Here is a 14,184-nt window from a genome sequence, read left to right as displayed (position 1 = left end):
TCTTAATGCGTAACCTTGACACTGCTGGTTTGGGCCACCTGACAGTTCTGTGATGGACTGATGTCCTTTCAATCAGCTTATCTTCTGCTTAAACCAGCCATAGTTAGTGTCTATTGCAGGATTTTTTTTTTTTAGGAAAGAAAGCAAAATAAACCTTGACTGAACCAGTTGGATAAATTCTCATCCTCTCTGAGCCACATCTTGTAAAGTGGGGATCATAAAAGTAACATCTTTGTCTTGTAGGGATCAAAAGATGCCATTTGACGTATAAACCTTTAATATTCTAAGTGGCTCTGTTAATGGAAGGGAGGTTTTGGGGTTTAGTTTTGTTGGTTTATTTTCTGGGGATATCGTTGCTTCTGTGTTGTGCGAACCCTGTCTTTTCCTTTGTCCTGTTGCTCCTTCCAGCGAGGCTCTGAATCGCAGCTGATGCAGTGCATGGGATGACAACGAGGTCCCGTAAAATGAGGCCTCTGCTCAGCAGCTGCATCAAGTTGCTGAAGTTTCCCAGGAGAAATTCTACGTTTGGCTGCTCATCCAAATCTTGTCTCAATACTCTAAGCTGGGAAAGAAATTAGAAACCTTTGTTGTTGGAATCCCTGGGGGGGCTGGAGGACAGAGGCACAGAAGAGTGTGTGAGAAGGATAAGAAAAGAAAGAGGACAGGAGCCACTGTCCCGTTTACTGAGCACTTACTATATTCCAGGCACTGAGGTGGACATTGCCTACACATGATTTTATTTCATGCTCCACTGGACTGGAAGATCCCAGGAGAAGGGTCTTGACATTTTGCCCATTGTCTCAATCCTAGCAACTAGCCCAAGGTTTGTCAGACAATCAGAGCTCAACTACTTGAATGAGCAAATAATCAATTGAATAAATAAATAAGCAGCATTTTGTGATTGGGATTCCAGTCTCCAAGCTGCAGAGGATTGAAAGACAAAGTAACCCTTCCAAGACCACAAGCTAAAAAGGACTGAGCTGGATTGGAACCAAGGCTGGCCTAACCAGGAAAGTCTGCATTTTTTTGTACTACCCCAACAGTATCAATCCAAAGAGATACAGGAGGAAAATCTCAACGTGAAAGACAAAAAGGAAATAAAGAAGCATCGACTTTAGACCCAAAATAAATGTGCAGATTGAAGGACGTGACTGCAGACAGCACTCTCCTCTGGACATGAGGTGCTAAGTGGAGGGTGAGAGGTGAGTGACACACCAGGGGCCTCCCTCCCTGACCCAGTTCTCTTCCATCGTGGCCCAGCACCACCTGATTTGATTTCTGTGCTGCTCCTCTGCCTTCTTGGGGGACATTTCATTCATTTATGCTTCTCTATCAAAAAGTTTCTCCCAGCATTTGTAGTGTGAGTTTATTTTTCTTCCTTTCTAATAATTCCTGCTTGATTCTTTTATCTCATCTGGGTAGAGGCAAGATGATTGAATAGATATTTAGAGCACTTAATCATTGGCATAATTCAATTAGATGCCCTCTTGAGCTGCTTCAGTACTGTTTACTTTTGCTGTAACTTAGTCTACGCATTCCGGGAGAGTGCACTTCTGACCTGTGTCTCAGACGGAACCCTGTGGGTGCCATCATCCAGCAGAACAAATCACAGACCCCAGAGAGCCCTCGGAGTCAGGCTCTCAGATCTGGTGACTGTGAGGACATGTCAAGGACGCTTCAGTGAGGATAACACAATTTGCAAAGGTGTGACGTTGTGCAAAAGCCACTGCTGTTCAGAAAAGATCAGGAATCCAGGTGGCTGATGTATATAACAGGAAATGAATATTCATTGGTAAGATTGAGAACTAAGAAAATCCATGATTCTGGAGCAGTAGTTAGGGTCACGTTGAGAGGGGCCTTAAATGTAAACAAACATGCTTTAGATGAAAGAAATTTTTTTTGAAAAGCATAAAGGAAGGATGAAGAAAACTGAAGGTAGGAAAAGTAGAAAGAACACTGTGGCAAAAGTCTCTATAAGCCAATCAGATACCAGGAAAAGTAAATCAAGATCTGATTGGAAATTAATACATACCACTGTTAATGTTATTGTACGGTTATTAGCATTGTTATTAAGCTACTTTTTGTTGAACATCTACATGGAGGTGACACACTTTACTTCCACTCAAAGCCCATTGGCTGAATCTGGACACAGAAACCACCTGCCTTCATGGGAGTGGGGAGGCTGTGGATGGCACATGGGTCTGTGTGACAGATAAAGAACTCTACAACAGTAGAAGTGTTCATTTGCATTCCAACAGATGAGCACATGGACTCAGAGAGGCCAGGAATGCATTTTTAATAAAAGACATTTAGACAGTTCTGAAAGATATTAACTGTATTGAGGTTTTATATGAGATTGTTTCACAAAATAGCATCTGTTTTTAAAGTGATGCCCATTGAAAGATATTTTTACACACAGGTGGAGCATTCGGCTAATATAGTTTAGTCCTGCTAAACAGAGGGGCTGGTGCAGCTCAGTACTAACACTCATGTCATTAATTCCTTATAGTTTATGATTCCAAGGAAAGCCCTATGAATATCACATTTATTTGTGTAGTTTACATAAATACCTTTAGCTGTCATAATTTTAGATGAATATGTCATTGATAAAAATTACGGAAATCATATACTAGGCATATGCATGGGTCATACTGCCAAAAATAAATATCAGTTCAAAAATGTGTGGAATACAAGAACTATGAAACTTTTAGTACTGAAAACTTTAGTTCATAGGAAAGAGAATTTGCTTCATTATTTTCACAAGGCATCATGTCGTAGTGAAATTAGCATGGGATTTGAAATTATAGGGTCCTGGGTTTAAGTCTAAGCATTTTCCTCTAAAATAAAATATGGAGAAGTTTAATTAATCTCTTTGAAATTCAGTTTTTTGACTCATAAATTGAGATAATAGTCTCTGCCTTATTCTCCAATCTTAAGATTAAATCTGACTTCATCCAGAGCTGAGCAGGACGGTCACTAACATGTATGGGGTCCCTGTTGTGTGAAATTCATCGTGATAGGCACTTCTTATGAGCTCCTTGGGAAAATGTATGCACACCCCTGCAACTTACTAGCATCTCTTTACACTTGAGAAAGCAAAGACTCTAGGAGTTTGAACTCTTGATGAAGGTCACGGTTTATAACTGGCAAAGTGGAAAACAGAATCCATATCCCTCATTCCAAAGCCTCTCTTCTTCCAACTGCATAGAATCCCTCCTGATTTGGATCCACAGGAGGCAGTTTTGTCTTTCCTGAAATAATGTATGGTTCATATTTTTGGATGCTAATTAGGCTAGCATTAATTAGTTATTTTTGTATTTTAAAAAAACTGATATCACTTCAAGAATAATGTAAAGATCTCTTGCTTTCCTTTTATAAAATCCTATTCAACCTTTGGAGCAAATATTAACCATCTAGACACGGACATCTGGAAGACTCAAGAACTTTTTTTTTCACTCTAAGAAAGTTTTCACTTTCTCACCATAATTAATCAATGCTGAGAGAGGATCCACGTCTCTACCAGAGTTAAATGAAAAATCCATGAGGCCAGCTGGACAATAAAAGTAGGTGAGGTCATTGTGACCATAGTCTCGCACCAATTTTTTGAGCCCTTTTGGGAAATGTTCTCAGTCAGCTGAGAGACAGTAATGCCCCCTTTACTGAGAATTACCCAGACATATGGCACAATGTGGAAACATGGAGAGACAGAACAGTTAGCAGTTGCTGCTGTACTGTTGGCTTATTTCCACTTTACGGCTTCATATGAAGCTAAAATATCATGCTGGGGACATATGCTTACCGGCTCTGCACTTACTGCCTGCAGCTATAAACTCCTGTATTCTAATGGTAATTCTACAATCTGTTCTTTGACAGCTCGGGGGGCCAGATGATATGCTTGCTACTGACAGGGACATCACTTTCATAAACATTGACTTCTCTGCACCTGAACATTGGAGTAATCACAGACAGAGTCGACACCCCATGAAATAGAGTCAGACTGAGGATTCAGGGAATAAAATAGCCAACTGCCATCCAAAATAAAATTCTTTTTATACCCAGCAGAGCTATGTTAACAGGCATTTTCTTGCAGGGGTAGAGCTCTCCAAATTCAGGACTGAGGGCTTCAGAAATTTCTCTTCCTTGTTAGTAGTCCTGGAGGAAATCACTCTTGGAAACCTGTGCTTGTGGAAAGTCCATGTTGTACTTTCTCTGCTTGCTGGGCTGGCTCTAAGCTCAATACGTGATAGTGAAAAGAGAAGTGGACACAGATTCAGAAAAACTGGCTGCAAGTCCTGCAATGAGAAACTCTCAATGTCTCACACTCTATGAACATGCTGTTTACATTTTGTTCCTGAATCTGAATTCTCTGTTCCTTGTTATGGCTATTCAGTTGTATCATTGAAAAAAAAATGATTTATCTACTCAATGATAAGTATTTTGGGGAAATATAGTACACACATATACACACAGTCATATCCACACATCTATGTATATGTGTATGTATATAAATGTATATTTTATATGTATAAAATATATGATAAATATAAATATATTATTTATTATCACATGTAAGTATATTTTAAATACAGAAATATATACACATTGATATGGTTTGGCTATGTGTCCCCACCCAAATCTCATCTTGACTTGTTGTCATCCCCATGTGTCAAAGGCAGGACCAGGTGGAGGTAATTGATCATGGGGGCAGTTCCCCCATGCTGTACTCATGCTAGTGAGTGAGTCTCATGAGATCTGATGGTTTTATAAACTTCTGGCATTTCCCCTGCTTGCACTCACTCAGTCCTGCCACCCTGAGAAGAAGATGCCTGCTTCTCCTTTGCCTTCTGCCATGACTGTAACTTCCCTGAGGCCTCCCCCTCCAGCTCTGCTGAACTATGAGTCAATTAAGCCTCTTTCTTTTGCAGAGGAACCCTAGTTATTGCTGTTCTTCAGTTTGGGATTTTGTGTCTGTGGCAGCAGAGTTGAATGTCCACAAAAATTCACACCACTCTAAGGGAAGTGGCCAGGAAGGACCAGAGTGTTACTTTGAGTTCTCTTTCGCTTGCAGAGAGCACCAAGATATTATAATATGGGTGAATTTGGATAAGAATCACTCGTTAGAAACAGAAGCAAGTAGAAAGTCAAGATATGGAGCTTTGAAGGGTGAGAAGAGGCAAGAACTTCCAGACACTAGAAAGAAAGGGATTAAATTCAAAATGATTTTGAGTAACTAAAACAAGACAAAAACTTAAAAACTGTAGTTCAACAGAAGGACTCAATAAATAAGCAAATGTTAGGTTCAGAAAGATAGCTCCTTCCTAAGCCTATTTTTTCAACAGTCTCAAAGGTAGCCACCATTAGTGTGGAAGAGATCAGCTTAGGCAAAGAAGGGGCAAATGTAAAGCAGGTGTGAGAACCCAGTCTCGTAATAAACTTTAAATACTGACACATGGAACTAACTAGCGTCAAGTAGATTAAAAGCCTACATATTTCTTAGAAAATTTTATTTCCAAAGAAACTATTACTGTAGGCTTAAGAATCTTTGACAGTAAAATCACCCTTTCACTCTCCCAAATCCCGCCAGTGTGAAGTTGCCTGTGAAATTTGTGCAAACCCGAAGAAGGGTAAGCTCCCAGAATCCTGCTGTGGATATGATCATAGAAGACAATCTCCCAGAGAGCACAGAGGAAAGGAGGCGAGAGAGTCACTGCAAGGAAGCAGAATGAGGACATAATTGAGAAAGTTCCCCTACTGCTAGGATGAGGGCAGCTGCCCAAACTGCTAGGGATGGGTTGTTGCTGTGTTTCCTCTTCTTCCATTTTATAAATGGGGTGAAGGGATTTTATTTTGTTTTTCCTGTAGCTCTTCCACCATTGATGAGGGGGACAGACACATTTTCCTTTAGCTTACAGGTCAGCAGAACGTGGAGTGTGACAGAAGTGAATAAATGTATGCCAAATTGCATCCCTCCATTTGTATTACTTTGCTAGGGCTTTCAATAACAAAGAAGCACTGATCAGGTGGTTTAAAAAAATTATTTGTCTCACCATGCTGGAGGCTGGAAGTTCAAGATCAGGTTATCAGCAGGTGCAGTCTCTCTCCAGGCCTCTTGCTGTGGCTTGAAGCCACTCACCCTCTTGCTGTGTTCTCACCTGGCCTCTCCTCCATGGATGGGCATGTTCCCTTGGGTCTTGCCACTTCCAGTCAGATTGAGTCTTAGTCACCTTTTCAATGGCCCAATCTTTAAAGGCAGTTGCATTCTGATGTACTCTATGCTAAGGCTTCAACATACAGAATCTGGGGGAAGCACAATTTAGCTCATAAATCCCCTGTCCAAACAATAACCAATTATCACTGAGAAGTACCTTCCCAGTAAGGAAATACATCATCTAGCACCTGTCTCATATAGGCATTGCCGTGAAATTCCATCTTACGAAGAGGTATGATGTAGTTTGCTTCAAAAGGAAGGATTTTTTTTTTTAGAGAATTGATATTTTTTCCTTCACAATCTTCCTCTTCAACTAGCTGGACATAAACAATTTTGATGACCAAAGAGAGTTCAGAGCCACAGATGGGAAAACAATGCATCCTCTGAGTCACTTGTGCAGGAACGATACCCACAGCGCAGGAATGCCAGTCTTGGGAGTGTTAGTCAGTGAACATTAAAGATAACTTTTTTTTTTGACAGTCTTGCTCTGTCACCCAGGCTGGAGTGGTGCAATAGCGCAATCTCGGCTCACTGCAACCTCTGTCTCCTGGGTTCAAGCAATTCTCCTGCCTCAGCCTCCCAAATAGTTGGAATTACAGGCGCCAGCTACCACACCAGACCAATTTTGTGTATTCTTAGTAGAGACAGGGTTTTGCCATGTTGGCCAGGCTGGTCTCGAACTCCTAACCTCACATGATCCATGTGCCTCGGCCTCCCAAAGTTCTGGATTACAGGCGTGAGCCACCGTGCCCGGCCAAAGTTACATTTTTATTGACATATAATTTATATGCCACGAAACTCACCATTTTAAATCAAACAATTTGATATTTTGTATTATAACAACAAAGTTGTGCAACCATCACTACTATTTCCAGGATATTTTCTCAACACAAAAATACACTTTCTACCTATTAGCAATCATTCTACCCTTGCCAATGATCCTATTAGCAAGGATTTGCCCTTCCTCTCAGCTCCTGGCAAACCCTAATCCACTTTCTTTCTCTATAGATTCAGCTATACTGGAAATTTAATATACGTGGAATCATATGATATACAACCTTCTGTGTCTGGCTTCTTTCACTTAGCACCCTGTTTGCACCTGCATTGTAGTATTTATCAGAACATTGCTCCTTTTATGGCTAATTAGTATTCTATTTTACTGTTTCACCATCTATGTTATTTCATTCATCAGCTGATGCGAGTGTGCATTGTTTCCATCTTTTGTTTATATAGATAACACTGCTGTGAACATTTATGACTAAGGTTTGGGAAGAACATACGTTTTCAAATCTTTTGAGTTCATACCAAGGAAGGGAGCTGCTCAGTAAAATACGTTCGATTTTTTGAAGTGCTACCAAACATTTCCAAAGTGGCTACACTGTTTCCTCTCCCACCAGGAATGGACACGGGTACTAATTTCTTCATGTTATTGCCAGCACTTGTTATTGTCCCCCTTTTCAATTTCAGCCACCTTTGTGTGTAGGTGGAATTTAATTATGGCTTTGATGTGCGTGTCCCTAATGACTGATGGTGTTGAGCATAGTTTTACATGGCTGTTGGCCATTTGTGTATCTTCTTTTGAGACACTATTACTCTAATCCTTTGCCCATTTCTAATTGGGTATTTGTCTTTTTATTGCTTTGTTGTAAGAGTTCCTTATTATTCTGGATACTAGATGCTTATTAGATATGTAATTTGCAGATATTTTATCCCATTCTGTGAGTTGTAAGGTTTTTTTTTTCAATGTTCTTGATGGCGTCCTTTGAAGCATAAAAGCTTTATATTTTGATGAAGTCCAATTTATCTATTTTTGTTGTTTTCATGCCTTTGGTGTCACATCCTAAAAGTCTTTGCCAAATCCTAGGTCATGAAGATTACCCACCGTTTTCTCCTAAGGTTTTGCTCTTATATTTAGGTTTTTCATCTATTTTGTGTTAATTTTTGTATTTGTATGAGGAAGGTGTCCAACTTCATTCTTTGTATGTGGCTATGTAATTGCTCCAGTATCATTTTATAAAGGGCATTCTGTCCCCATTGAATGTCTTGGTGCCCACACCAACAAGCAGTTGACAATTGTTCTGTGTTTTCATCTCTGCACCTTCGATTCTAATACACTGAACTGTGAGTATCCATCTGTCAGCACCGCATAGACTTTGTTACTGTAACTTTGTAGTAAGTTTTGAGATTGGGTAGTGTGAGTCCTCCAAGTTTGTTCTTTTTCAAGATTATTTTGGCTATTCAGGATCTCTTACAATGTCATGTGAATTTGAGGATTGGCTTCTCCATTTTTTAACTCACATCATCACTTCTAGTCAACATTGTACTAAAAATAGTAACAGTACAATAACAAAAGAACAAATGAAACATATAAGAATTTGAAAGTATAAAATCAAAACTTTATTTGCAGAGTATATTATATACTTACACTATATGTACAGATAAGTTATTAGATATACTATTTTTTTCTCAGAATTAAGAACTTTTATCATCTGCTTTGTATGTGGAAAGATCCCATCCTTTAAAAAACAACAAATGAATAACTTACAGATGCACAAAACCACAAACATAAACCTCACAACATTGGGAAAAACAAGGCAGCAACAAACACACACACACACACACACACACACACACACACACACACACACACACTGGATTATTCAATAACAGCCAAAATATTTTATAGGCTTATTGATCATTTTTTAGAAATGGGTAATAAAGGAGAGAGAATGAAAGATAGCAATTATGCTTCTTGATCTGTGATGGTTTCACAAGTGTATTAACTTTGTAATAATTCTATGCACATTTTTATATGAGTTATACTTCAATAAAATAAAAACTGGAGTACTAGGTTAAGCCTCATTACAATCCCAGAGGATAAAAAATAAGAAATCAACTTACAAGATCAAAAAGTGTCATTTTGGGTTTTATCTTCTAAATTATATTGTGAACTAGGTATTCTAATTTCAACTGCCAGGCATTTTATTGGCATTGAAACCTAGACCTGACTAATTATTAAGAGTTCAGGTTTGTCTTGATGGTTATACTATGAACTAAAAATTTATTTTACCAAATACCTTCAGATCTGAGCTTGGCATTGGAACAGTGAAGATGGTCAGAAATAGGGATCCAATCAGGAGCAGTCAGTAATATTACACTCTCTTTTACTCTCTTTTTCTCTCAAGATAGTCCCTGTGCTCCTGTTTAAGGCCGGGGAGGGGAGGGGAAGGGAGGGGAGGAGAGGGAGGAAGGAAGGAAGAATAAGAGAAAAAACTTCCTAGAAAGTAAAAAAGATATATTTTATATGATCATTCATCTAATTAAATAAACGAATCATTAGATAAACTGTATGTTCAGAACTTTTCAAGCTTTGCTTTTAATAGCCAATACCAAGTTTCTGGAATTGAAGAAAAATAATTTTCTCTTTTAAGATCCTTTTTTTTACCAAAGTTCATAGTTCTTAGATGATTTTGGCTGAAGTCAGATTTATTGCTAGGTAATTTTGTGACCTTTATCTCTTCTCTTGGCACTGAAAGAATAATAAACTTCAATGAAAATGTAATAAGGACATTAAAAAAATTTAAAAAATCAAAGAATAAAAATGAGCTCAAGAATAAAAATAGAAAAGGTCAGAGAAAAGATGGTTCAAAGGAAGGTAATTAAAAAAAGATCAAGCACACACAAAATTGCAATACTTGAACAAGAAGAACAATAGGGTGGAATTGAACTAATATTTTCTCCATAAGCTAAGAAAATATTCCAAAAATAAAGAAAGACCTGAATACACACACATACATGTCTGTATGTTGTATGTATATGTACATATACAATACTTATATATATATATATACATATATACACACATATATAAACATTGCTATGCAATATATTTATATATACAAGAATGAAGCAGAAATTTCAAGAAACTTAGAGAAATAAAATGTCAACCACACACTGCTTAAAGTATCAGGGTTAGAGATAAAGAGGTTCTGAACATGCAAAAATTCAGGGACTACTGTAGACACACGATCTGTCTTCAGAATCTACTAACTGACTCGTTATTAACAGCCCATGAACAAGCGTGGGATCATGGCTAGCAGAAGAGTATGCAAACATTGTACAGCTCAGAAAGTAGAACAGATGCAACTAATAAAGATAGATGAAGTTTGGGGTGAGGTGGGTGGAGGAGGAGAAAGACAAAAGTGGAATAATATCATTGATTGTGTTTACTAGTTAAGATTCAAAGAATAATACTCATTATGAACCAGGTGAGAAAATGGTGAGGTAAGAAAAACTCAATGAATATAACATTGTAAACACAGTATTTATAACATAAAATTATGGGACAAAGTGGAGAGCAAATATCTCAGTGATATTAATAAAAGTAAACGGGCTTAGCTTACCTATTATGAGAAAAAAATGTAATATTAAATTATAAAGCAACACTAAGCTGCATACTGCATAAATGCAAGACACAGTGGGAACATAGTTTCTCTATAAATTTTAAAATACATGGATGAGTGGCCAGGCACAGTGGCTTATGCCTGTAATCCCAGCACTTTGAGACTGAGGCAGGTGGATCACCTGAGGTCAGGAGTTTGAGACCAGACTGACCAACATGGAGAAACCCCGTCTCTACTAAAAATACAAAAATTAGCCAGGCATGGTGGTGCATGCCTGTAATCCCAGCTACTCAGGAGGCTGAGGCAGGAGAATTGCTTGAACCTGGGAGGTAGAGGCTGCGGTGAGCCGAGATCACACCATTGCACTCTAGCCTGGACAACAAGAGCGAAACTTAGTCTCAAAAAACAAACAAAAAATACATGGATGGGCAAATATATACCAAACTGTGGCAACAAGAAAATGGGGATGGCAATACTGATAGCAGACAAGTTGAATTCAGAATCAAGGAGCGTGATGTTTATAATTTATTCTCCAATGGTTTGAGGGAAAGAGAAGAGAGTGTTGCAAAACCATGAATCTGAAAATGAAAATTTAGTGAATCTGAATTTTCTTGCAAGTTTTCTCTAAGGTCAATATTGTTTTATTATCAAATATAAAGCTAATATGATGTTTTGAAATTTTGACAAGGAATAATTTTGGAGTTCATGCAGCATAATGAAAATTTGGAAATTGGCAAATCTAATAATGATATCTCAGGTTTATTTTTAAAATGCTATTAAACGCTTAAAAATTGTGCTAAGTGCTGTGTATTCTCTGCCTGGAGCATTACTTAACAATCCCTATACTTTCCTGGCCCTTTCACTCTGCCTTGTGTTGGCACCTGCTGTTTCTGAGCTCACCTGGATCTTGCTTCCCTCTTGGTATTGTAGTTATTTCTTTCTATACATCTCCTTCTATTAAATGAAAAAAAATTAAAAGCAAGTCCACTTTGCATTTTTGCATCCTCATAGACTAAAGCAGTACTTTTTACCTTATGCGTATATGAGAAATATTTATAGAAAGAGCAGAGAAAAGTGGCCCATGTCACATAGAAATATGAACTGAGTAGGGATTTGAAACCTGGCTCTCTAGACAGTAGCTCTCTAGACAGTAGCTCTCTAGACAATAGACTGTACAGGTTGTGGGGAGTAAAGAGACTGAAGCCTGGGGCCCTGATGAGATCACATTTTCTCTCTGTTGCTCTGATGTTGGGCAACATGTTTAGCTTTAATAAGCCTAAGCTTCCTCCTACGCATTGTGGATACAATAACACCATTTTGTCCTATGTAAATGAGTTCAAATTCAATGCTGAGATCTCTTCTAAGAGGTAGATGTATAGCAGTGAATGAAACACAAACAATATATTTGTGTGTACGTATATTTGTGTGCATGTGTATATGTATGCTGTGTTAGTCCATTCTCACATTGCTATAAAGCAGGGGTGTCCAATCTTTTGGCTTGCCTGGGCCACACTGGAAGAAGAATAATTATTTTGGGCCACACATAAAATTCACTAATATTAATGATAGCTGATGAGCTAAAAAAAAAAAAAAAAAAAAACTCATAATGTTTTAGGAAAGTTTACAAATTTGTGTTGGGCTACATTCACAGGTGTCCTAGGCTGCATGTGGCCTGTGGGCCACAGGTTGGACAAACTTGCTATAAAAAAAAAATACTTGCGACTGGGTAATTTATAAAGAAAAGAGGTTTAATTTGATCATGATTCTTTAGACTGTACTGGAACCATGATGCTGGCATCTTCCCAGCTTCTGGGGAGGCCTCAGGAAACTTACAATCGTGGCAGAAGGTAAAGGGAGAGTAAGAACTTCACATGGCTGGAAAAGGAGCAAGAGAGAGCCAGGGCGGAGGAGCCACACACTTTTAAACAACTGGATCTTGTGAGAACTCACTCACTGTCATGAGAACAGCACCAAGCAGATGGTTCTAAACCATTCGTGAAGGATCCACCCCCATGATGGAGTCCCCTCCCACCAGGCCCCACCTCCAACATTGAAGATTACATTTGACATGAGATTTCGGTGGGGACATGGATCCAAACAGTATCACATGCCAAACAATGATGAATGTTAGGAAGAAAAGTCATGCAGAGTAAAAAGCTAATGAGTACCACGGAGCAGGGGGCACAGGGCGGAGAAGCCCTTTGGATTGGATGGTAAGGAAGGAACTCCCAGATGTCCAGACTGGGATGGCTTCAAAGCTGGGACTGGAACAGCATGAGCCTGAGGATACACAGTGGAAGAGCCTGTGTTCAGAACAGGTGCAAAGGCGAGATCACGCAGGTGAACTCCCATAATCCCTGGAAAAGAAGCAACACAGGAGGCATTAGATAATGTCCTTTCCATTATTTGTATGAAAAACAAAAGTGTGTGGGAAGAATGAAATTGATTAAATACACAGTGTCTGACATACTAGGCACCCATACATGACTGTTTTCATTTACTTAAAGTGTGTGCTCCCTGGATATGTGTGGCGGATCGTGCATCGTAAGGATATTTCTTTTGTTGTGTGCTTTGGTTACGGAGAGTCGGTGAAAGTGAACAGGAGTGTGAGGTGGTGGTGGTACAGTTAAGACTCGAGACATCATAACTAGTTTCCTCCCTTTTTGCTTTACATTAATGATACATTCCTATAGACCTATCCTTGTAACAGATAACATGGCATTTTACTAAGCCATGTCCTGCTCCTCCTCCTGCCAGTGGCCTCAGGAGAAAGGAAAGATGAGACCGTGGCCTGACTTCCCTGGGGAGGGGACCTCTCAGCTGTTGCCTTGAGGAACAACAGCAGAGGGAGGGTAGATCAGCTGCCTGGGGGCAGACTGCGTTCACCATGACCTCCCTGCTGGGGGGTGGGTTCAAGTGGAAATAGAGAAGAGAAAGTCAGCTTCCCCCACAGCCCCACCCTAGGAGCAATGAACTGTGCAGTGCAGGGCACCAAGAAAGGAAGGTAGTGCAGGTAGTACTAGCCAGACAGGCTCAGGCCACAGTGAAGAAACTTGAGCCCTGTGGTTGGTTACAGGACGTGAGCAAGTCACTTCCCTGTCTCCCCTTGTTTTTCCTGTCGATGAACTGGAAATCATTTGGCCAATCTTCTTAAAATCCCTTCCACTTTTGAAAAATTTGTCACTCTGGCCTGTTTTAAAAATAACATGAGGTCATGGACATGGGAGTTTGTACAAGAGAAGTGTCATGTGGATATACAGTAGGACATGCTGTTCTCTCCCTGTGACCCCCTTTTTCAGAAGCCTTTTTCTCATTGACAAACCATCTTTCACAGGGAGTCCACGGGCCCTCCTGGTGAAGGGCTGTGCCATCCCGGGGGCCAGCAGCTTTTCATGTTCCTGTCACTGTTCAGGCTTTCTGTCTCTCTTGCTTTCTTGCTTTTCCTGTAATATAAAATAATATAGAAGAGGTTTTTTAAAAAAGAAATCTATCAACTGCTAGGTACCTACTGAATATAATTTCTGCTGTAAAGGTAAAAAGAGCTCTGAAAAATAACAGATGAACATAGACCTA

General features: G+C 39.3%; 1 annotated feature.

The window, feature by feature from the left end:
* Positions 13,722-13,921: an enhancer, noted in NCBI's record as "active region_15240". NCBI's record gives its function as "activates an Ori minimal core promoter by ATAC-STARR-seq in GM12878 lymphoblastoid cells {active_cell/tissue: GM12878}" and the evidence as "EXISTENCE:reporter gene assay evidence [ECO:0000049][PMID:35858748]".

This window comes from Homo sapiens, chromosome 2, assembly GCF_000001405.40.
Source record: "Homo sapiens chromosome 2, GRCh38.p14 Primary Assembly".
NCBI classification, from domain to species: domain Eukaryota; kingdom Metazoa; phylum Chordata; class Mammalia; order Primates; family Hominidae; genus Homo; species Homo sapiens.
Note: the sequence above shows the minus strand (reverse complement) of the source record. Positions and strands in the feature narration are given on the sequence as shown.